The sequence below is a fragment of the Homo sapiens genome, chromosome 6 (genome assembly GCF_000001405.40).
Source record: "Homo sapiens chromosome 6, GRCh38.p14 Primary Assembly".
Classification (NCBI taxonomy): domain Eukaryota; kingdom Metazoa; phylum Chordata; class Mammalia; order Primates; family Hominidae; genus Homo; species Homo sapiens.
Window position 1 is genome coordinate 34,085,247 of NC_000006.12, and position 22,654 is coordinate 34,107,900.

A 22,654-nucleotide genomic window follows, 5' to 3' on the forward strand; every position below is an offset into this window, starting at 1 on the left:
GGACTGAGCCTCTTTCCCTTCCTGTCCCCCAGGGCAGCAGCACTGCAGGATGAAGCACCCAAGGCCAGCAGTGAGGAATGGCAGGAGGCGCACCCCACAGTTCACCTGACGCAGCTGCTGACAGGCCCCAAGTTCCTGCTCCCTACCTTATGCCTCCAGGAATGGATTTCTGTCCTCAGTGAGTCAGTAGAGAGAGGAAGGGGAACAGCCAGGGAGCTCAGTAGGGCAGGAGGTGGAGGTCCCAGGGTAGCCTGGCCTCACCCCCAATGCCTACACCCCGTCAGCCTCAGTTTGCCCCTCTGTAGGCTGAGAGAGCAACCTCTCAGGTCTAGGGGTGGGAAGAGAGCTAAAGAAGAAGTGAGTAGTTGGGGGCTGGATTTTGCAATTAACCATTCATTCAACAAACATTTATTGAGCAACTACTATGTGCCAGGGCTGTGTTAGATGCTGGAGATGCAGCGGAGAACAAAACAGATTAAAATCTCTGCCTTGGTGGACCATATACAAACAAATAAAAATGTATTAGTCTGGTGCTATAAAGAAAAACAGAGCAGGGTACGGGGACTGGAGAGTAGGACGGAGGCAGGGGCTGTTTCAGATAGGCTGGTCAGAGGCCTCTCTGAAGGGAGACATCCGAGAAGATACCTGAAGACACCAAGAATGCAGGCCGTGTGGACATGCAGGAGAAGCTTTCCCACAGGAGGACCAGCCCGTGCAAAGGCCCTGAGGCGAGCTGGTGCCTGGAACATTTGAGGAGCTGCAAGATAGCTGCTGTGGCAAGAGCGAGGGAGAGGCACGGAAGGAGGCAAGGCCAGAGAGTGAGGAGAGGCAGCGGAACAGGCACCCTTAATGTGAGTGGGGCCAGCCCCCTTGGCTCTGGCCGTACAGATCTCCACCTCATCCCCGTGGAGCCTCCGTAGATGGGGTGCTCCATTTACAGCCAGGGACGCCACATGCCGAGAGTCTCACAGCCCACTGGATGAGGAGCTGCCCAGCCTGGGCCTCCTGCTGCCCAAGCACTGTCTCCTCAGCGGGCTGCCAGCCATGCCATGCCACTGTGCTGACAGAGGCCATCTACATGCAAGTCTGATGCTCAGCCCTGGGAGTCGGAGCAGGAGGTCAGACCCAGCAACAGCTTGACTCACCCGCATCTCTGGAATATCAATGGAGGGCACAGCAACACAGCCAAGAGGTAGGGCCTCAGAATTTCCTGCTGTTCAAGGAACGAGACATCCTCCAAGGAGCAGGCCAAGCCCCCCACACTCCTTCCTGCCACACTCAGAGAGGCCATCTTGTTTCCACCCTTAAGGCACAGATGTGCCCAGACATGCTAGATGCACTTACCTGAGAGGACTAGAGACAAACTCTCAGGTGACCCCGTGGATAGGACTTCCTGCCCCATGCACCACAGAGGGTAAGTTCAGTGGCTGGGGAGAGTATCTGCAGGATTCAAATCCTGCCCCTGCCACTTCCTAGCTGTGTGGCCTCATGGGAGTTACTTAACCTCTCTGAGCCTCTGTTTAGCCATTGGTATAATGAGCTGTCTTGAGAGCTAAATGAGGTAATATGTACAAAGCACTTAAAACAGGCCTGGGCCAGGTGCAGTGGTTCATGCCTATAATCCCAGCACTTTGGGAGACCAAAGTGGGAGCATCACTTGAGCCCAGAAGTTTGAGGCCAGCCCGGGCAACATGGTGAGACCCCATCCCTACAAAAAATGAAAACAAAATTAGCCGAGCATGGTGGTATATGCCTGTGGTTCCAGCTACTCGGGAGGCTGAGGCAGGAGGATTGCTTGAGCCTGAGAGGTTGAGGCTCCAATGAGCTGTGATTGTACTACTGCACTCCAGCCTGGGCAAGAGAGTGAGACCCAATCTCCAAAAAAAAAAAGGCCAGGCATGGTGGCTCACGCCTGTAATCCCAGCACTTTGGGAGGCCAAGGCGGGTGGATCACCTGAAGTCAGGGATTCGAGACCAACCGGGCCAACATTGTGAAACCCCGTCTCTACTAAATATACAAAAATTAGCCAGGCATGGTGGTGCATGCCTGTAGTCCCAGCTACTTGGGAGGCTGAGGCAGGAGAATCGTTTGAATCCGGGAGGTGGAGGTTGCAGTGAGCTGAGATCACGCCACTGCACTCCAGCCTGGGTGACAGAGCGAGACTCCATCTCAAAAAAAAAAAAAAAAAGCCTGCCACATCTGTGCCCACGTCTGTGCCACCCGCTTGCCACCGCCTGCCTTTCTCCCTCCTCAGTGACTCACTGGCATTATCTCCAGAGCCCAGGCGAGGCCTGCTCTGCATGTCTAATCCAGCCCTGGTGATGCTGCAGAGGAGCCCGGGAGGGAAGGGCAGCCTCCTTGCCTTTCCCTGGTGCAGCCTCAGCCTTGACAGGGAGGAAGAAGTCCTGGCTGCAACCAGAAGGTCCACACGTGCCCGCACACACACACACAACCCCCCCCCCACACACACACACACAGGCCCAGTCTACAGATATCCCCACCAAGGCAGGCCTACCAGTCACATGACCAGAACTTCCCAGACATGCACCCCTACACACACACACACACACACACACACACACACACACACACACGTCCTGGCCTAGCTGCCTTTGGAGTTCACCTTGCTGCCCTCTCCCCACCAGACCAGCCATACCCTAAGAACCAGGCTAGCCTGGGCTCCTGTAGTTTTGTCTCTAGCCCCATCCCTGGACACACCTGTATCTCCATTTACGGCACAGCACGGGGCCCAGCACTTCCCAGGCCTCCCCAGGACTAGCCAGGCCCCAGGTAGGGCTGGGACCCAGGCAGCCAGACCCTGACAAACCCTCCAGTGCGCATTCCTGAGCTCCCGCCTGTATGTGCCAGGAGCACGTTTCACTCCTTTTTTTTTAAGACAGATTCTTGCTCTGTCACCCAGGTTGGAGTGCAATGGCGCAATCTCGGCTCACTGCAACCTCCACCTCCCAGGTTCAAGCGATTCTCTTGCCTCAGCCTCCCAAGTAGCTTGGGATTACAGGCTCGTGCCACCAGTCCCAGCTAATTTTTGTATTTTTAGTAGAGACGGCGTTTCACCATGTTGGCCAAGCTGGTCTCAAACTCCTGACCTCGTGATCCGCCTGCCTCGGCCTCCCAAAGTGCTGGGATTACAGGTGTGAGCCACCGTACCCGACCACACATTTTACTCTTATACCTTGCTTTATTCCCATTTCACAGATAAGAAACTGAGCCCAGAAAGACGAAATGATTTTCCCAAGACCGCACAGCCAATCAGCATCCGAGACAGGGCACAGGTCTGCCCGAAGGAGCCTGACCTCTTAAGCACCTGCCGCCGCTTCTGCAATGCAAGCTGGAGGAGACAGGGTGTATAGGTAGAGTACCTGGTCTGACAGCCCTAGCTCCAAGTCCTGCTCTGACACCTGGCTGTGTGACCCTAGGCAAGCCACATCACTTCTCTAAGGCTCAGTTCTCCCATCTGCAAAATGGGAAAAAAACACCTAGCCCACGGGTGTTTCACCTAGCCACATGGTTATTACCAGGATCTGTAATAGTCACAGGGGGTGTCTGGCCCAGGCAGGGCTCAGTCAAGGGCCACAGGATTGCCCAGAGCATGTGTAGACAAGGGTGGGAGTGGGGAATGCCAGTGCCAGGGCTTCCTTTAGGCCTGGTGCCAGTGGCCCAGTCAGTATTGGGCCACTCCATGTGCCACCTACAGGCTCCCCACCTGCAGGACAGAGCCAGGTTCCCATCCCAGCTCCTCCATGTTCTAGCTCTGTGGCCTTGGGAAAGTGACCCACCCCCTCTGGCCTCCATTTCCCCATCTATAAAATGGGCATAGTCATGCTCCTCTGAAGCACCCAGAGACCAGCACACAGTTGGCACCCAGGACTCACTCACCACACTTCCAACATGCATCCCAGCCTGGCCAGCATGCCCTCCCCACCACTCCCCTCTCTGGTGCTCCTCTGAGCAACTCACAGATGATTTATACTTCAGAGTACGAATCAATACAATATACGGCCAAAGACATCTTTAATCTTTCACAGGGATTAGGCTACAAGGTACAGTGGCCTCTTTCTACTGGCTGCTCAATTCTGATTTCAATTTGGCCAGCTGAAGTGCAGCTCTCTCTCTCTCTCTTCCTTTCTTTTCACCCACTAAAAGATGTTCCTCCAAATCAAATTTCATTTATTGGGTTGCGCGACGAGACCTAGCTGCCTGAACTGCCCTGGCCAGGCCCCCGTAGGATGTTGCACACTGGCATGGGGTGGCCTTGGAAGTTTGGGGACGTGGGAGGCCCAGCCAAGCAGGAAGCCAGGCCCTCAGATGGTGCATGGGGTGTGGCAGGTATTGTGAGGGGCGCCTCTGCCAGGACAGGAGTGCCCCGAGCTGGAGGCCCTTGCATAATGGCAAATTTTATTTTTCTAGATCATGAAGTCCTTTTAAAAAATCTTGAGTAGACTTTATTTTTTCTAACCGCCCAATACTTGATTAGATGTTGATAAAAAAAAAATTAAACAATAGGCTTACCTTCAGCCAAAACACAATGCCCAGACCCCACCCCCATCCCATGCCTCTCCTGTCCCTCCAGGCTGTGTGTACATGGGTGTGCCTGTGTGTCCCTGTCATACCCTAGCACTTGCACAGGGGCTGGCCCATGTGGGTCTCAGTGAGCACGCAAATGACAGAAGACAGAGAAGACAAGAGTACAGAAACAGATGAGACCTCTAGTTCCGGAGCCAGCCATCCTGGGTTCAAATCCCTTCTCCACCTCTTACTTGCTGTGTGGCCTGGTGCTAGCTATTATTCAGCCTCTCTGTGCCTGCACTTCCTCTCCTGCAAAATGGGGATGAGGCAGCATCTACCTCGTAGGGCAGGAAGGACTGCCCAGGACAGCAGGTGCTGGGCACAGAGGGAGGCCTGCATGAGCACTGGGGGTGGCTTTGAGGTCCCTCAGGGCAGGGACTGAACACAACTGAACACGGAGACTCAGGGCCCTTGATCCCTTCCCCCATCCTATACCTTTGCCCCTAAATCCTGCAGAGGTCATGCATTAAACAGAAAAGGTAGGAGGTTGGTTTGGGGAAGAGTTGAAGCCACAGAGGAGGAAAGGAGCCAGCAGAGCAGAGTGGGAGGTGCTGTCCAGAGGTAGGTGCCCAGGTCTTGGGTCTGAGCAAAGGAGGAAAGGACATGTGGGTGGCCCAAGGGAGGGGCTGGGCTCTGGGGCTCGGAGGCTCTGACACTGTCCGCCAGGGTTCCCAGGTGCTATTGCCAGCCCATCTGGAGCTGGGAGTGGAGTCCTGTTCACCTCTGCTTCCTTTTGCTCTGCCAGGCTGCAGAAGTGGGGAGTAGCCTGGAGCCTCAGCCATCAGTCAGTGCTGCCCCACTTCCCGCCGCCCCGCTGCCCCCTCCACCAGGTGGAGGCCCCCAAGCAGCTTCAGCTGTACAATTAAAGGGGCTTATCCGAGATTTATAGCAGGATTATGCCCACGGGGTGTTACCAACGGCAGCCTCTGGACACTCTGTAGTCCTTAGGAAAAGCAATTAGAGTCCTGAGGCCATGAGGGTATAAATATACAGACGCCATCACCCAAGGTCTCGGGCACTGGTGAGCTGTGTAGAGGCAGGGCCTTGGGAGAGACCAGGGGCAGGGCAGACGGGCCCTCTCTGCAGGAGGTGGGTCTGCCAGGAGGGAGAAGGGCCTCCCCACTTCCCCCACACACAACAGGGCCCCGAGGAAGTCACAGGCACCATCCTTCAGCCCCACAGCCCCCCAGGAGCTGTCCCCTCTTGGCTCACCCCAGCCCAGGTGGAGGCCCCCAGCCTAGGGCTGCCTGCTGCCCCAAGATGCCCACAGCTGCAGCCCATGCAGCCAGCCCTCTCAGGGCACCAGCAGCAGCACAGACCCAGCCAGGGGCCTGCTCCCGGGCCCTGCTAGGTGGGAGTCACCTGCCAAGGGGATAACCCTTGTTATCGCTCAGCCACTTATCACTGGGGACACCTGAAAGCTTTATCACAGAGCATCTGAGGACAGCAATTTAAGGCAATTCAGCACGCTTAATGGGGGAAGATGGCATCAGGGTACGAGGGGGAGACCTCGAGGAGAATAAATACTTGCCAGAGTTCCTCAAACCCCACCCACAGGGACACCTTCTTTACTGATGCCCAAACCAGCACAGACCACCCGCGGCCCTCCACCCTCACCCCCACCACAGACAGGTTAATTTTAGGGGCTCCAAATTCCTCATTCCTCTGAGAGCCTGCCTGGCTGTCCGCCCATCACCTGAGTCCCTGACAGCCCTCTAAACAAGGCCCCTCGTCCCCACCCCATCCCTTCCTCTGCTGTGAGGAGAGCGGCCGCCCCGCAGGCTCCTGCACCAGGGAGGTCAACAGTCCCCTCATCTGCACACCCACGTCTGCAAAGGCCTCACAGTCGCCGTTGACCGGAGTCACCCAGAGCCCAGTGAGGCCATGGACCAAACCACAGTGCTCAAAGAAGAGGCCGAGGCCCACCTGGCAACAGCCAGGCAGTCAGAGCCTGTATCAGGCCCCGGCTGGGAGCTCCTGGTGGGTCAGTCACTGTGCCGGGACACCCCCGAGCCTGGCATGACTCTGCGGCCAGGCGTTTGACTCACCGTCCTCACGGGACTTCTGGATGAAGGCCTCCACACCGCTCTCACCATAGCTGCCCTCCGAGGCCACTGTGGACACATAGTTCCACTTGAGGGCACGGACGATGTCCACCATGGCCTGGGCCTGGTACGTGTCCGAGGGCACCACGCGGGAGAAGAAGTCGTAGCGGCTGTTGTCACTCAGGTCTGGCGCTGTGGAGGCGTAGCTGATCTGGGGTATCTGAGGGGCGAGAGGGGCTGCTGAGGGTGGCGACTGGCTCCCCACCCTGCCTAGCCAGCCCCATTCCCCTACACACCAACCTCCCTTTGGTCCCCACAGCCTTGGGACCACCACAGCCCACCCCTCCCCATGGGCGATGCCTCCTCCTCCAGAAAGTCTCCCAACCGGCCTCCCTGGGGTCCCCAAAGACACCCCAACCACACACAGATACACACACAGGCACACACATACATACACCACACACACATACACCCTGGGAGCCTCTGGCTGCCTAAATTTACACAAAGAGCTCAAAGATCCCAGCCCAGGGAAAATCCCCACATACGTGAGATGATTCAGCCTGGGGATGGGGTGGGATTTGGGTGTTGGGAGGGGCCCTGAGGGGTCATGTGGCCCATCCCATGTCCCCAGGCAGCTCCTCTGGTCAGGACCCAGCAGACCCTGTCCCCACAGCTCTCTGCCAGCTCAGCCTCCTTCCTCGTGCCCTGCTCAGAGGAGATGGAGCCTCGATTCCAGCTCCCCTGTCCCCCACTCCAACCCCAAGGATGGAAGCCCAGGAAGCTAGTGGGGTGGGCTTCAGGAATTCCCTTCTCTCTGGAGCTGGGGACACTGAGCCCAGAGAGTCACCACCCTGCCGGGTCCCACAGCCTCTCCAAGGCAGAGCCGACCCGGGGCCCTGCCCCAGCCCCGGGGCTTTCCAGTCACGGGGCATCTTCCCGCCTCCACAGGCCCCACCTGGACCCTCCCCAGGCAGGAATGAGACTCAGACCCCCTGCCTCCTGTAGATACACCCAACCATCCCCAGGACAGGGAAGGGGTATGGTCCCTCCTCTCCGCCCCTCCCCTCCAGGGCGCCACCCACTGCTCTGCTCTCCCGGCTGCTCAGGGCTTGTGGGCTCCACTCCCCGCTTGGCCCACAGGGACACTCCTCTTTCCTGTGTGCCCTCTGCCCGCTCAGTTGTCCAGGGAGACAGGGGTGGGGAATGCATATTGATCCAGGCTGGCGTCGAAACTAAGATTTTATGCCCCTAAGGAATCACTCAGATTCAATCCTGGCCAAGAAACCTGTGGCCAGACTTCAGGCCCAGTGGCAACTGTGGGTGGGGAAATGTTCCTGGGACAGGAGGGTTGGGGGTGCCCCTGGCAAGTGGTTGCCCACTTGGCCAAAGCCTAGTGTGTCCCTATCCCTGGGGCCACCCCCCAGACCAGTCAGCTCCCCTTCCTCAGGACAGGGCAGAGGTTCTGCCGACCTAGAAGCCCCACCTCAATATCCCGACATTCAACTCTATTCACTTCAACAAAGACTTTATTGAGCACCTATGATGTCCTAAGTGCTGAGGACAGCAGTGAATAAAACACTCACGGAGCTTCCTTCTAGTGGGAGGAGAGGAGCAAGCAAGCTAACAAGTGACCGGGACCATTCTCCACAGCGATGAGGCCTCACAGAGTGGCATAAGGGGGTGGGACATCGGGGTGGCAGGTGGTGTATGGGTGGCCTAGCAAGGGGTCTGTGTGGCTGGAGCAGAGCAGGATGGGGAGAGTCAATGCATAGTAGGTCCCACAGCCTCTTAATAAAGGGACAAATGACAATAAGGAAGTTGACTGGGGACAGTGAGGGTCCACCCTCCCCTGAGAACGTCCATTGCCAAAAGCATGGCCCAGCTCGGCCACCCAGCTGGCCCGCTCTCCGCCTCCCCTGTGGGAAAAGCCCAAACCACTGAGACCTTCACGGGTGAGGATGTGGTTAGGGCAAACAGTTAACTGGTTTTTTGGATTTTCTAAGCAACCAAGGGTTAACTCCCAAACCCCCTCACTGCAGCTCTTGTAGTCTTTATAAAATGGCATGTACTACATTATCCACTGGCACTGTTTGTAACAGTAAAAGTTTGGAAACGACCCACATGTCCATCAAGAGGGGATTGTTTAAAGAAGTTCCAGCCAGATGAGGAATATTACACAGCTGTGAAAAGGAATGAGGCTGATTTCCAGGCACTGCTCTGGGTGGGTCTCCAAGATATTCTGGGGTAAAAACAACAGCAATAAGGAGGCAACATGCAGGTGGAAGCTGTTTACTGTGTGAAAGGGGAGGTGCATACTTGCTGCTCTGAAACAAAACATGTGCATTGCCTCAGGGGAGGAAAGCAAGTGGCCGAGACAGGATATGGCAGGGACCTTTCACCTTCTACCCTTTGTAGGTTTCCAATGTAGAACCATGCACGTCTTCCACCCATTTGGAAAGCAAACCACACTCGACTATACTGGAATCTATGTGTCCCCTCACCTGCTCTGTCAGCAGTGACTGAAAACTAGCCCAGTCCTCTCTGCCTTGGAGAACACTTGGCATAAAAACAGCACCCTCTAAAATGTGAGCTCGGATTGGATATTTATTAATTCACTTTAAGGTTGTTATTTTTGAGGTCTGAAAATGGTATTAGAGTCATGGCTGGTTTGTTTTTAGGAAGTCTTGTGTTTTAGAGCAGTTTCTCAGCCTTTGCACTCTTCACACTGTGCAGGGGAGGTTAGTTCTTTGCTGGGGGGAGGTCCCTGAGAGACAAGTGTTTTGTTTACCTCTCTTGCTGGCCTCTGCTGGGCCCTAGCCAGGAGCGATCATCACCTGCCTGCCTCCACGCCCCTCCTGATCAGAAGCTTGTCCCTACTTCTGGTGTTTCCTCCCACCAGTCCTTGATTCCCGGCAGGGGTTGAGGGCTCAACCCGGGCCACACAGCCGGCGGCAAATGGAAACAGAGGCCCCCCCAAGATGAAGTGGCTCCTTCTCACTCATCCCTATTCCTCCTTCCAAGCTCCTTTCCAGGCCCAGGTGGTGCTCAGCACAGGTGGTGAGCAGTGGATGGACGGATGGATGTCCGGGCATCCCCTGTGGGGCCAGACTCGTTAGAAGCCTTCAGACCCTGGCCCAAATCCAGAGTGAGGCCCTGGCACACTGGCCCTGGCCCACGGCACACACTGCATTCTCCCAGAGGGTGGGGGGCCAAGCATGTGCTCCTGCAGGATATGCGCGTCAGCCTGCAGGAGAGCCCCGGACCCCTGATTTCAAGAGCGCAGGAGGGGCCCCTGACCTTCCCCCAATAATTCCTGAGACACTAGAACAAGGACCCAACTTTGAGATGCGGGTGAGGGAATCACAGGCTCCTGAACAGGATCCCGGGGATAAGCCAGCCTCCTGCGATGTGTCCACCTGCCAGCCTCTCCTGTCTGCTCTCCCCGCAGCCTCCCTCCTCAGCTCCAGCCCCACCCACACTTCCTAGGGAGACAGTTTCAAGCAGACTTTGGGGAGCTATACTGCTTAAGTTCAAATCCCAGCTCCACCTCTCACCAGCTGAAAAAAAACTTGGGCAAGTTACTTCACCTCCCCGGCCTCAGTTTCTTCAGCTGCACAATGGGAATAATTACAATAGCTGTCTCCTAAGGCTGTGAGGGTCACATGAGGGAATTCAAGCAAAGCACTCAGAACAGTGCCTGGCAGGCGGTAAGCACTAAGGGTCAGCTCTTAGGGGAGCTGCCATTCCTCCCGCTAAACCTCCTCTGGCAGCAATCGCCTTCTCTTGCCTCTCTCTGACTTTACCTCCTAGGACTCTCCCTCTCTGCCGGCCCCCTCCCATCACACACTCTCTCCATGGTCTCGTTGTTGTCATTGTCATTGTCACAGGGACATCCTGGGAATGCTATTGGGCTCTCCAAGGCTCTCTTGCCCCACCCTGGAGTGGAGGGATCGGGGGCAGGAGGTGCCAGGGGCCGCCACAGGTGGGCAGGGAGCCACGTCTGCGTCTAAGCAGGTGACTGTGACAACCTGGCCCATGTGGGGCTCTGACGTCTCTTCAACTCCCACTGTCTGCGCAGCCCAGCCCGAGCAGGAGGGGGACGTGCAATTTACATTCTCTGAGGAGAATGCTCCTCTCCTCTCCCAACAGCAGCAGCAGGAGGGGAGGGAGGGAATGGTGCCCGCCCTGGTGCCAGCTGCTCCATCCCTCTGCCTCCTTTGCTTCCCTCACCCAACACATTGAGCACCTACTGTACACTGGACACTGTTCCAGGTGCTGGGGACACAGCACCTTGTGTCACACCCTCATGGGGCAAGAGTCAGAACTCAGATTCCAGCAGCCCCTGACCAAGCACAGGCGTCCTGCTCTAGGTCCCTCTGTCCCTTTCTCCTTCCTCTTTGTCTATTTTCCTCTGTCCCCAGAGTCCATGACCTCATCTCCCACATCCAAATCCCCCTTCTCATCAAGGCCCAACTCAAATGTCACCTCCTCCAGGCAGCCCTCCCTGAGCCCTCATCCTCCAGAGGGGGCCTAGCCTCCCACAGCACTGAATGCGGCTGCCCCAAGGGCACCAGGCACGTCCTCCCGGTGTTACTATTCTCTGCCTACTCATCAATTCAACAGGCCCTCCAAGCACCCCACCTTGTGCAGGCAAGGCCACGTGGAGAGATGCAGAGTTGAACTAGACTGATCCCACCCCAAACACTAGTCAATACCCACTGCGTTCTGGGAGACATCAGCAGAGACAGCAGAAAGTGTTTGTGCAAAAAGTGCTCCACTGTCTGGGCCCCCCGAAGAGGGGTAGGTTGTATGGCCCCTGGAGTGACACGCAGTGTGCCTGCAGCCACCACCCAGGAGAGCCTCAGCTGAGGTAAGGGGTGAGTGACTGAGGGGTGGAAGGATGCATGAATAAACCTCTCTCCCTCTCCCTCTGTCTCTGGCTTCTAGAGTGACAAGGAGATCCATGCCACATGGGGAAAGACAAAAGCTGCTTCCGGACTTAAGCAACAATGAAGATGGATTCCAAGTACATCTGAGTGTGTGTGTGTGTGTGTCTGTGTGAGTGTGTGCATGCACGTGGGCACACGGGCTAGAGCGTGTGTCCTTGAGCACATGGGTGCCCCGCACATTCATTCATTTATTCCTCCTACAAAGAGGCATGGAACACCCACGGCCTCCAGGCATAGTTCTGAGGGCTGGGGATGGACTATGAACAACTGCCGTCAGCGGGCTCCAATCTAGATGGAGGCAGGTCATGCAGAGGTGCATCATAAGCTTCTGAGTCTGTTAGATGGGGATGAGGAGCCAGGAGGAAAAAGAAAGGAAAGGAACAGGGGAGTGTTGCAGAGTGGCCAGAGAGACCTCTTTTACAGTCTGTGTGAAGACCCCAGCAGGGAGGGGTATTTGAGGCCAAGGTGTTCCAGGCCCAGGGAGCAGCCAGTGCAAAGGCCATGTGTGCATGTCTGTGTGTGTGTGTGAACATGTATGCATGCCTGTGTGTGTGTGTGAGCATGGTGCATGCCTGTGTTTGTGTGAGCATGTGTGCATGCCTGTGTGTGTGTGTGTGTGTGTGCGCGCGCATGTGTGTATCCAGGCACACATGTGTGCTTAGTGCCTGGATCTGCCCTCAGGCTGCCCCAGGCCCAGCCAGCAGCCTCACACAACCAGCCCAGGCATGCTGATACCGGCTAGCACACGGGTGGTGACCCAGAACGCCCACAGCTCCAGCTCTGGGTAACTGGTTCCCAGAACTGCAGAATCTGAAAACCCGCTGAGGGCAGCTGGTCCACATCCCACACCATCCAAAGGTGGAACGGGGATGCTGGAGGGCAGGGAATGTGTCCAGCATCTCAGTGCCCACCCGGAGCACAGTCCTCAGGGTCTCTGAAGGCTGGAGCTTTGTTCAAGACTGTTCAGCTCAGTCAGGGTTGAAATCCCCACCACGAACCCCACAAGTCAAGTGGGCTCAAGTCAAGTGACCAGACATCCAGGGCCATCACCACAGACACTCCAGGGGCTACCTGACAAAGCCCACACTCCTCTTCCTGTGACCTTTTCTGTTAAAAGCACCTTTGCCTTTCCTCCTCTGCCCTAATGCTTGGCACAGCACGTAAGTGTCCAGCACCCATCGGAGCCGCCCTGCCCAGGGCTGTGTGACCCAGCTTCGCTATCCAACTGTGCAACCTTAGGCAATCAAGTGAACTCTCTGGGCCTCAGTTTCTTCCCCGTAAAGTCGTCACCATCACAACAGAGAGGACTGCATCAGCAAATATGCAAAAAGTGCTTAGAACAAGCCAGGTGCATGGGGGCCCTGGGCAAATGCTAGATATTCTTATTAGAGAGAAAGGCAGGGCTAGGATCACTGTGCCCATTTTGTAGATGAGGAAGCTGAGGCTTGGAGAGATGATAGTGTCCTCTGAGTATCTCACCAGGAGATGTCAGAAACAAGGTGCTGACTGAGCTGCTCCGGCCCATGTTCCCACCCTCCTGGGCATGCCCTCCAGGCCTCCAGCTCTGCCCCACCCTCCTTGCTGACTCTGCTCTTTCTGTTCCACCCATGGGCCAGGCCAGGCCACCACAGATTGAGGCTGGGATCTTGCAGCCACCTCTGGCCACCAGCCTAGGCCCAGCCAGGACCCAGGCAGACTTTAAGATCCCCACCTGCCTGGCGCAGCCCCTATCCCCCAGGGAGCAGGGGACCCTGCACGGGGCCAGCACAAGCCCCAGGCTTGGCTGCCTGCTCCTTGCCCTTCTGATCCTGGCTGCTTCAGGCCCTCCACTGCCGGCTCTCAGCATCAGCTGTTTGCTTCACAGATAAAAGCCAGTGATGCTTTCAGGTAACATGAAAGCTGTGGCGGACAGGAATGTGTGGTTCAGAGAAAGAGGAGGAGAGTGCTGGCTTCCAAAGGCCTTGCCTGCAACATCCCCCACCCTGACCCCTCAGGGGCCTGAGCAGTGCAGCCTCCCCTACAGCGCCTTAGCTGCAGAGAGGGGGTGGGGGCTGGGAGGGGGTGCCCAGAGGTGCAAGAGATGGGGTTGCCAGCTGCCCTTCCCTCCCTCCCTCCCTCTGTGGGCTGGGAGCCGGTCTCACCTGCACCTCCCCAGGGCTCCCCCTCACAGAGCACCTGAGCACCCCTCTGGCCAGGTGCTGAGGACACAGATTTAAATAACACTCAGATAACCAGCCTAGTTGGGGAGTCAGGCTTGTGGCTGGGAGAACAAAGATTTCCCCCAACCTCCCATGGGCAAGGGAAGAGCCACAGGGTGAGGGAAACGATGGCAGGGCCTGGGGACCAGGCTGTCTGCGCACAGAGGTCCAGCCACAGGGGCTTCCCAGGCCCCGCCAAGGAGAGCGGGACTTTCCTGGGAGCCAGGGGAGCTGTGGAGGGAGCCTGAGCAGGGGTACAGGTGGTCAGATGGCCCTCAGCCTGCCCTCAGCCTGCAGGGGAAGAGTCTGGAGATGCAGGCCCAGAAGTCCAGGAGAAGGTGGTGAGTGCACGGCAGACAGTAGCTGATGTTGCCTGAACCAAGACAGGGGCTTCGGGGTGGAGGGGAGGTGGGCGGCAGGCACTTAGCGGGAGACTCACGGCATTGGGGATCAATTATATGTGGCCACAGAGAGAGTGGGGACTAGCAGGGGGGTGCAGGGAGGCAGCAGAGGGAGCAGGGTGGGGCCAGCACATAGAGAGGATGCCAGCAGTCCCCGGCCTTCAGCCCTGACCAGGCCCATCCCTGATGCGCACCGCTGGGTTCAGGAGCAGAAGGTTAGAGTGACCCAGACAGCTTGGGACAGCCCCACGGAGGCCTCACACACCCACGCCCTCCATGGAGCTGCCCTGTCCCCAGTGATCAAAGAACAAGGCCTAGGGGAAATGGCGGGGGGCACCTGGGCAGGGGACTGTGTGGGCACAACTGGGTGGTCTTTGGGAGGAGCAGGATAGGCCCCAGATCGGGAGACTGTCTGTCCTTGCCCCAGCGCCTCCTCCAGGGCCACACATTGGGGCCCTTCCCCTTCAATACCGCCTTCCCCAACACCCGCCAGAGCCATCTGGGGAGCACCAACCCCTTCGCCACAGACCCTCCGGGAATTCGAATCAGCCCTGCCTAGGCACTCACCTCAGGACTTGACTCCCTCATTAATCAGATCTATTCCTCTGCTCTGTGGATTTAGACCAGCTGCCTACTCCTGCCCTGAGCATCTGGTCACTCTGGGGCCTGACCATGTGCCCCTGTCTGGCCCTGGCAGGCCGGCCTGTGCTCCAGTGCAATTGATCAGCCTGCGAGGGCCCACCTTGGGCCAGCCCAGACTCAGCCTTCTTCCTGGCAGCTGAGAAAGCTGCAGTTGCCACCCCAGGGCCCTTGGCCTCCCTTGCTCTGCTCCTCCCCCCGGTCTGGAGATGGACCTCCCCTCTGCCCAGTTCCAGGGTTTCTCTGGCCCTCCTCTGCCCGTATAACCTATGGCCCCCTTCCTATCACACCGTGATCTGCAGTTTCCCCTCTGTGATGGAGAGTGCATGTCAGAGTGTCCTAGGCTGCAGGCACTACTATCAAAGACAGTCGAACTGGCCACGAGGCCCATGGGGTCCCTTTGCCTCAGCTGCTCCTGTGTCCACCAGCCTCCCCCCATACACTCTCCCAGCATCCACTCATGCTCCTCCAAAGCTCTGTCAGGCCATTCATTAATTCACTCACTTGACCAGGGTTTACTGAGCACCCACTGAGTGCTCTGCATGATCCCTGCCTTCATGGAGCGGACATCCGAGTGGGAGAGACAATCAATAGTGAATGAATACACACAGAGCTAATGCTGGGTGCTGGGCAAGGGCCATCAGCCAAACATTTCAAGATCTCTGCCTTCTTGGGACCACTTGAAAAGTTCTGGACAATGAGCTGAAAGCAGAACATGTCTATCGCTTCTGTCCCACAGCACTGAATTGCAGTCGTGAGACCTACAGGGTACACATTTCCTCTGCTACTGTAAGCAATGGGTCCCTGAGCACTGTTCCAGCCCAGCCCGGGTCCCTGAGTAGAGTGCCTAGCCAACCTCCATAGACATGTCACACTGCAAGAGTTAAGCTGACGCTATTTTAAGCCACGGAGCTTTGAGGGTTTTTTGTTATGGCAGCATCACCTCACCTATGCTGACAGACACAGGGAGCGGTAAACATTAGGCTCCACCTCTGGGAGAGCCAGGAATGACTCTTATTTATTTCCACCTCAAGGGCATGGATGTGTCAAGTTCACACTCATCACAGGCTGGTTTGGGCGGAATTGTATTGAATTAGATTCACACACACACATGCAATCCTCATCATCATGAGACCTAACACTTACTGGGTGCTTACTATGTGCCAAGAACTGTCCTAAGTAGCTTCATGCACCTTAACACCTTCAATCTTACCATAGTCCTATGAGGTGGGCCCTCTTATTCTCCCCATTTTTCTGAAACTGAGGTACAGAGATGTTAAGTCACTTGCCCAAGCTCACACAGCTAGTGAGTGGCTGAGCCAGGATTTGAACTCGAACTAGCTGCAGAGCCCATGCTGCTGTCAGGTAAAACCTGTCTCCTGCGTACACGGTGGGCCTACACATGCATATGCATTTACACACACACATGCAACATCTACACACACACACTGAGAATCTGAGGGTGACACTGCAGCCTCTAGTGAGAAGGCCGCCCCCATCCTGTGGGGCAGGATCCTCAGGGCAGCAGCTGGGAGACCAGCCCTGCTTCCTCTCCTTGCTGAGCCCCCGCCTCCACTCCTGGCTGTCAAACTAAGGGCTGAAGTGGCCCACTCGTCTCCAACACAAAAGATCGGGCAGGAGCCCTGGAAGGTTGTGTAAAACGGCTCTGCTTTGAGCAATAGCTAGTTTCTATACATAATTATTAATTTCATGCTTATTATAGGCAAACCTGTCTCCCAGACGAGATGAAATTGATTTAATTAGAAATTCCATCATCAAGCCTTTTGCATCTGAACTTTTAATTAGGATCACCAACCCCACACGAGGCTGCCAGAGAGTGATCTCGTGGCCCCTGGCTTCTCTCCCGGAGGCCAGGGGTATGGCCAGGACGTGTGGACCTCCACTGCCACCTGTGCCCTAGTGGCCAGGTCAGGGCCTCTCACCAGGATCCTTACCTGTCCTCCACCCCCAAAGCATGGCCCTGAAGTCCTAAGGGTCCTCTTTTTTCTCTTGGCGCCATCATGGGGAAATAGCTTGGGAAGAGTTTGCACCATCTTGCAGCCAGCCGGAAGGACTGGGGCATTTAAGGTGTGCAGGGGACAGGAGCAATAATAGGTCTCCCCACTTCCTGCAAAATTCACACACCAGCCTTCCTTTGGGAGCCCCTGCCAAGTGCTAATAAAATGCCCTTTACAGCTCAGCTCAGAGCAGTCTGTCAGAATTACACTTGGCATTTTAACAAAGCATTTTCATGCTCAACACCTCTGATCTCATCTCCAGCCACTCCCAGCTTGGCCTCACTGACTCGGCTCCAGTCACGCCAGCCTCCTTACTGTGCCTCGAACTCTCCAGGCACACTCCGCCTCAGGGCCTTTGCACTGGCTGTTCTGCTGCCTGAATGCTCTTCCCCCAGATATGCATGTGGCTCGCTCCCTCTCATCCCTCACTTCAAGACTTTGCTCAAATGTCTCCTTCTCAGGCAGGCCTTCCCTGACCAATCCCACCTCCCTCCCCTGAACTCCACCTTCACCTCCTCTGCTTTGATTTTCTGCACAATGATCACCTACTAACACACTACATTTCCTTACTTATTTCATTTAGTATCCATCTCCCTCTAAAACATCAGCCTGGGGCTTCATGTTATTCCCCCACTGTGTCTTCAGACACCTGCCACAGGACAGGCATTCATTGAACAAAGGGGACACCTCATTCCTTCTGCACAGCCCGCCCATGAGACAAGCACCACAGTGCTGAAGCACCTTCAGCCAGTGAGGAAGCTGAAGCCCAAAGCCTCAGGGCCTTGCCAAGGTCGCAGAGCTGGTCAGCAGCTCCAATTCTCACATGGTCTGACGCTGCGCCTGGGCAAGCCAGTGGCGTCACTCTGCAGTAAGTGGGCCACCCACGGCAGTGCCCAGCACATAGAAGGTGCTCTGAGGTCTCCTTCCTCCCTCCTGGGTTCAGGCAGGACCCTCCCTCTGGCATCCCTCACCTCCTGGGGCCTGTCACACCCTGTCCCCCACTGACACCCCAGGAAGCAAACGCTGGGAAGCTGCCCCATGCCACCTCTGTCTCCCCATCCCCGGGTCCTGCCCAGCCTCTTATCAGGAAAACAAGCGGACACTTGGATTAATTTCCAGGCCCATTCTGAATTACGTTTTCCAGGAGAGAACCAGACAGACGCAGGCAACAGGCCTTTGGACAAATATTTCCCCAGAAAGCTCTTTATTCAGTCCCTTGTCTCACCCTTTTAAACATTATATGTTTTCTTAGGCACCCAGGAAAAAAGAGGGGCCCGATAAGGCCCAGAAGCTGGAGAAGAATAGTGGGTACGGAGGGGAGAGCCTCGGCAGGGCTGACAAAGGAGGCGGCTCGATGCAGGCTCAGAGGCAGGGCCGCAGATAAGAGCGCCCGAGAGAGCAGGCGGGGGCGGCGGGCGAGGGAGAGCAAACGCGATCCTCAAATCAGCACTTGTCCTATTTCATAGGCGAAATGTAGATCAATAAATTATACTCACTTTTGCAGGTTTTACATGCTGACTCAGTAACCTTGTCAACAGTGATCTGTGGGGGAGGCCGGGAGGAGCCCAGGCAGGCAGGGCAGAGGCCCAGCAAGGAGCCCCAAGGGGCACAGCCATGCCCCCTTTTCCAAGGAGGGCTCAAAGTCCAACTCCCATAGGTGAGAAGCTGCCTCGCTGTGTGACCTTGGGCAAGTCACCTCCTTTGTGAGCCTCAGTCTCCTCATCTGTCCACAGGCACCACGGTGAAAGACTGGGATGTGTCAGGCACTGCGAGGGTCCCGAGGGAGAATGAGTGTTACAGAAGCCTGGGGAGAGGGGAGGAATTGGCCCAGATGTTCAGAGCCAGCCATGCACCTCTCTCACACACAGGAGGTGCGACAGGGGCTCATGCACAGCCTCCCTTGGTAACCCTCACCACGGCCCCGAGGTAGGAAGCCAGAGCCCGATCCTCAGAAGAGAAGCTGCCCCTCCGAAGCTGAGGAACATGCCTGGGTTCACACCCAGGCCCACCCAATGGCAAGCCAGGCTTCCTCTGTGCCACAGTGCTGTCTGTGGGCCAGGACACAGGCAATGATGACCTTAGGTCACACCCAAATGTCCAAGGGGCAGAGAGAGCTGGGGGCAGCCCAGGGAGGCTGCGGGACCCAAAGGGGCGAGGCTGAGGGTGGAGCAGGGTGGGCTTCCCCGGGGCTGGGGACATGGAGCAGGCTGGGCCAGGGCCAGGCATCCTTGCCAGTGGGCAGGAGGCGGCAGCAGCACGAGGCTACTGGAGTGTTCGTGTCATCATAACAGGACTGGTGGCTGTTGGCTAACGAGCACCTACTCTGTGCCAAGCACTTCGTGTGGATTATTCACTTCTCCCTCACACAATAATCCCATGAAGTGAACACTACTTATTACCTTCATTTTTCAGATGAGGAAATGGAGGCCCAAGAATACATGGAAACAGGATGACACAGCAAGTGGCAAAGTGAGATTTGAACCCAGGTCTGTCTGGCCCCAGCCCCTAAGCACTCTCACCCCCTGCTCCCCACCTGGCACACACTGCGTGTCCATTCCCAGCCTCCTGCCCTTTGCCTACACCATCCCCGCACCCAGGAAGCAGCCAGGATGGGGAGCTGAGAGTCCCTGTTCCAGGTGTTTCCCCACCACATCCCTTGGGTGCCACTTCACATCTCTGAGCCTCAGTTTCTGCATCTGTTCAATGGGGGCTTAATTACATGACCCCTGCTGCACTGACGGGTAAGGACAGGGAGGCCTCCACAAGGTGGGAGTAACATCCAAAAGCCCGTTCTGCAAAAGCCGACAATCCTCACACAGGCCGTGGGAGGCAGGGGCGGGGCTGGGAAAACCTCAGTGTAGCGTCTGGGGTGTCGGTAACTGCACCCCATGTCCTGATGACCACATCACCAGGAGCACTGAGTGCCAGCAGTGGGGCGTGGCCAGGCCGAGAAAATTAACCATGGTGTCTGCCCAGTGCGTTCTCGAGTCAAGTTAATGTGCAGTGCTGTATGTAATATATTGCACTATATTAATATAATATGATATAATGGGATATATTACCATTATTGAACACATGAGCCGATAAAAGTCACATCACCATCTTTCCACATAATTTATATCACAGCCAGGCCAGGGCCAGGCTGGCAGCCCCAAGCTGGCAGAGAGGAGGCCCCCCTGGGGCTCTGGGGGCTTCCACTGGGGAAAAGGGTCCTGACCCCTGGGAGGGGAGTCAAAAACCAGCTTGGAAGGAAGATGGAGGCAAGGCTAGGTGACCGGCCGGGCTGGGGGTGCTGAGCTGTGGCTGGGGATGCTCAGTCCCCTCTCCCCGATGCCAGTCCTCATTGCACTTGGCCCCACTGCAGTATTTGACCCGGTAGTCCCTTCCTCGCTTGGTGGTCCCGCTCCTGGCGCTCCTTGTCCCCTCCTTCCTCTCAGCTTCCTTTGCTGTCCTGCCTCCTCTCCCTGATCCGACCCTGGTGGTCCCCAGGGCTCAGCGCTCCCTTCCCTCTGTCTGCCTCTCCACTCACTCCCTGGGGCCTGGGACTGCCTTCTCAGGGGTTCACCAGATCTCACCATGGCAGGCGAGGAGACACAGCATGCACCCCTGAACTCCAGGCTCCCATCCAGCTGCTGCTCCCCTGGGCTATCCAATGGGTGTCGCAAATTCAGCAGGTTCAAAGTCCGTCCCCGCCAGGTAACTGCTACTCTGCCTTCCAGTTATGCAGGCCAGAGTGTTGGGCAAATCCTTGAGTCCTTTTCTCACACATCCCAAACCTGATTTATCAGCAAATATTGTTGGCTCTACTTGAAAAGGATCCAAAATCCAACCACGACTCACCTCCTCCACCAGGACCGCCCAGGTCCACAGCTCCAGCATCTCTGTCTGGGCTATCACAACAGGGCCCTTAGCCTCCTATTGGGCTCCGGCCTCCCACACTTGCCACTCCCACACACATGCACAGTGCACTCCCACCTGGCAGCTAGAGGAACCCGATTAAAACCTGAGTGACACCACAGGGGTCCTCTCTTTAAGAGGATCCCATCATGGCCAGGCATGGTGGCTCATGCCTGTAATCCCAGCACTTTGGGAGGCCGAGGCAGGTGGATCACCTGAGGTTAGGAGTTTGAGACTAACCTTGCCAACATGGTGAAACCCCATCTCTACCAAAAATACAAAAATTAGCCAGGGGTGGTGGCCGGCGCCTGTAATCCCAGCTACTCAGGAGGCTGGGGCAGGAGAATCACTTGAACCCAGGAGGCGGAGATTGCAGTGAGCTGAGATCGCACCACTGCACTCCAACCTGGGAGACAGAGCAAGGCTCAGTCTCAAAAAAAAAAAAAAGAAAGAAAGAAAAAACAGAGGCTCCCTTCTCATAGAGTGAAAACCACAGCTTTCAATGGCTCCCAAGGCCTCTACACGACCTGCACCATTAGCCCCCTGGCCTCCCTTCCTACCACCCTCCCCCTCACTCACCCTGTCCAGCCACTCCAACGTCCATGTTGTTCCTCCCAACAGAGCAGGCAGGAGCCCACCTCAGGGCCTTTGCACTGGCTGTTTCCACACACCACTCCCTGCAACACCACACCTTTCATTCACGCATCTAGTGAGGACTGTTTGCCTCCCGCTGGCACGTCAGTCCCATGAGGGCAGGGGATTTGTCGGCCTTGCTCACTGCTAGAGCCCCAGGACTTAGGACAATGCCTGGCACCCACACTGTCATCTTGCAGGTTCTGCAAATAAATATTAATGACAACTACAAACAGGCGAGCCTGAGCGGCAGTTGGCTTTCACCTGCTTCTCATTATCAGGTTTCTTCAAGATTCTGTTGGGGGAAACTTTCTCCTTCCAAAGAGAATCTGGAAACTCCTGGCCTGGTGTGGATGAGGCAGCTGAGGAATGGACGGGCCAAGTGGCAGCAATTCAGCCAAGACCACAGGTGGCTGGAGGCTGGCCCCTCCCTCTGCCCAGCACGGCCTCCATGGCCCTAGGGTAGAGCTGGCTGCTGAGCACTCAGGCTGCAGGGGGTATCTCCGAAGCCAGGGGTGAGAAGGACCCCAGGGGATCTTTGCCTGATTCCTGGCTGCCTCCCACGGCTGTCCTTGGACACTGGCGGCCCCTTGCTCTGACCTGATCTCTGGTGGTGTCTGCAGGAAGGGGCCCACATACAGGTACTCATGGTAAGCTTCCACTCCCTCTAGCCCCTGGCAAGGGGGGAGAGGCGATATGGCTCCACCCCATGATGGACACATTCAGAATATACCTCCTGAGCACCCTCTATGTGCCTGGCGCCATGGCAAGCACCAGGAGGCCACAGTGAGCAAAAGCAGACAAAGCCGTATGCTCGTATTGCTGAGTCCAGAAGGAGAGCTGGCCTCTCACCGGACCCACACACGAATACACACAAAATCGTGATGACCGAGAGGCGATGGGGATGAGAGCCCGGAACAAGGTCCTGGATCTAGCCAGGGTAGCAATGGAGCACTCCCCTTAGAAGGCAGCATTACGCTGACACCTGGAAGAGAGGTAGGCAAAACCCAGGTGAAGAGGGGAGGGAAGCACATCCCAGACAGAAGAGGCAGCAGGTACAAAGGCCCTGTGGCCAAGGGCCCATGGCAGGTCCAAGAAACTAAAAGGCCAAAACAGAGGATGGGAGACACAGCTTGACGGGCAGGATGAGCCCTGGATACCCACGGGAGGCCACTGCAATGGTCCAGGTGAGAGAAGACAGCAGCCTGGACCGGGGTGTCTATGGAGATGGAGAGAAATACAACCCTCCCTCAAACCCTCTGGCTCCCAGGTGTCTCCTCCTTGTG

The 22,654-nt window shown here is 56.5% G+C and overlaps 1 protein-coding gene across 6 annotated transcripts in view, besides 1 other annotated feature; it reads right to left on the reverse strand.

Annotated features, from left to right (window-relative positions):
* Positions 1-22,654, reverse strand: part of GRM4 (glutamate metabotropic receptor 4) — a 136,980-nt gene that overhangs the window by 66,604 nt on the left and 47,722 nt on the right. For 4 of the 6 annotated variants that reach the window (NM_001256809.3, NM_001256811.3, NM_000841.4 and 1 more), the window contains one exon: positions 6,637-6,853. The exons of 1 other annotated variant lie outside the window; for it this stretch is intronic. In NM_001256809.3, the coding sequence (NP_001243738.1) occupies positions 6,637-6,853 (217 nt within the window). Of the gene's footprint in view, positions 1-6,636; positions 6,854-18,334; positions 18,605-20,678; positions 20,722-22,654 lie in introns of those variants that run through there. One more of the 6 variants, NM_001256813.3, reaches the window with a different exon arrangement.
* Positions 21,267-21,767: an enhancer, noted in NCBI's record as "H3K4me1 hESC enhancer chr6:34074290-34074790 (GRCh37/hg19 assembly coordinates)". NCBI's record gives its function as "activates a minimal SCP1, AML or CMV promoter by ChIP-STARR-seq in naive H9 embryonic stem cells {active_cell/tissue: H9 hESC(naive)}" and the evidence as "EXISTENCE:reporter gene assay evidence [ECO:0000049][PMID:30033119]".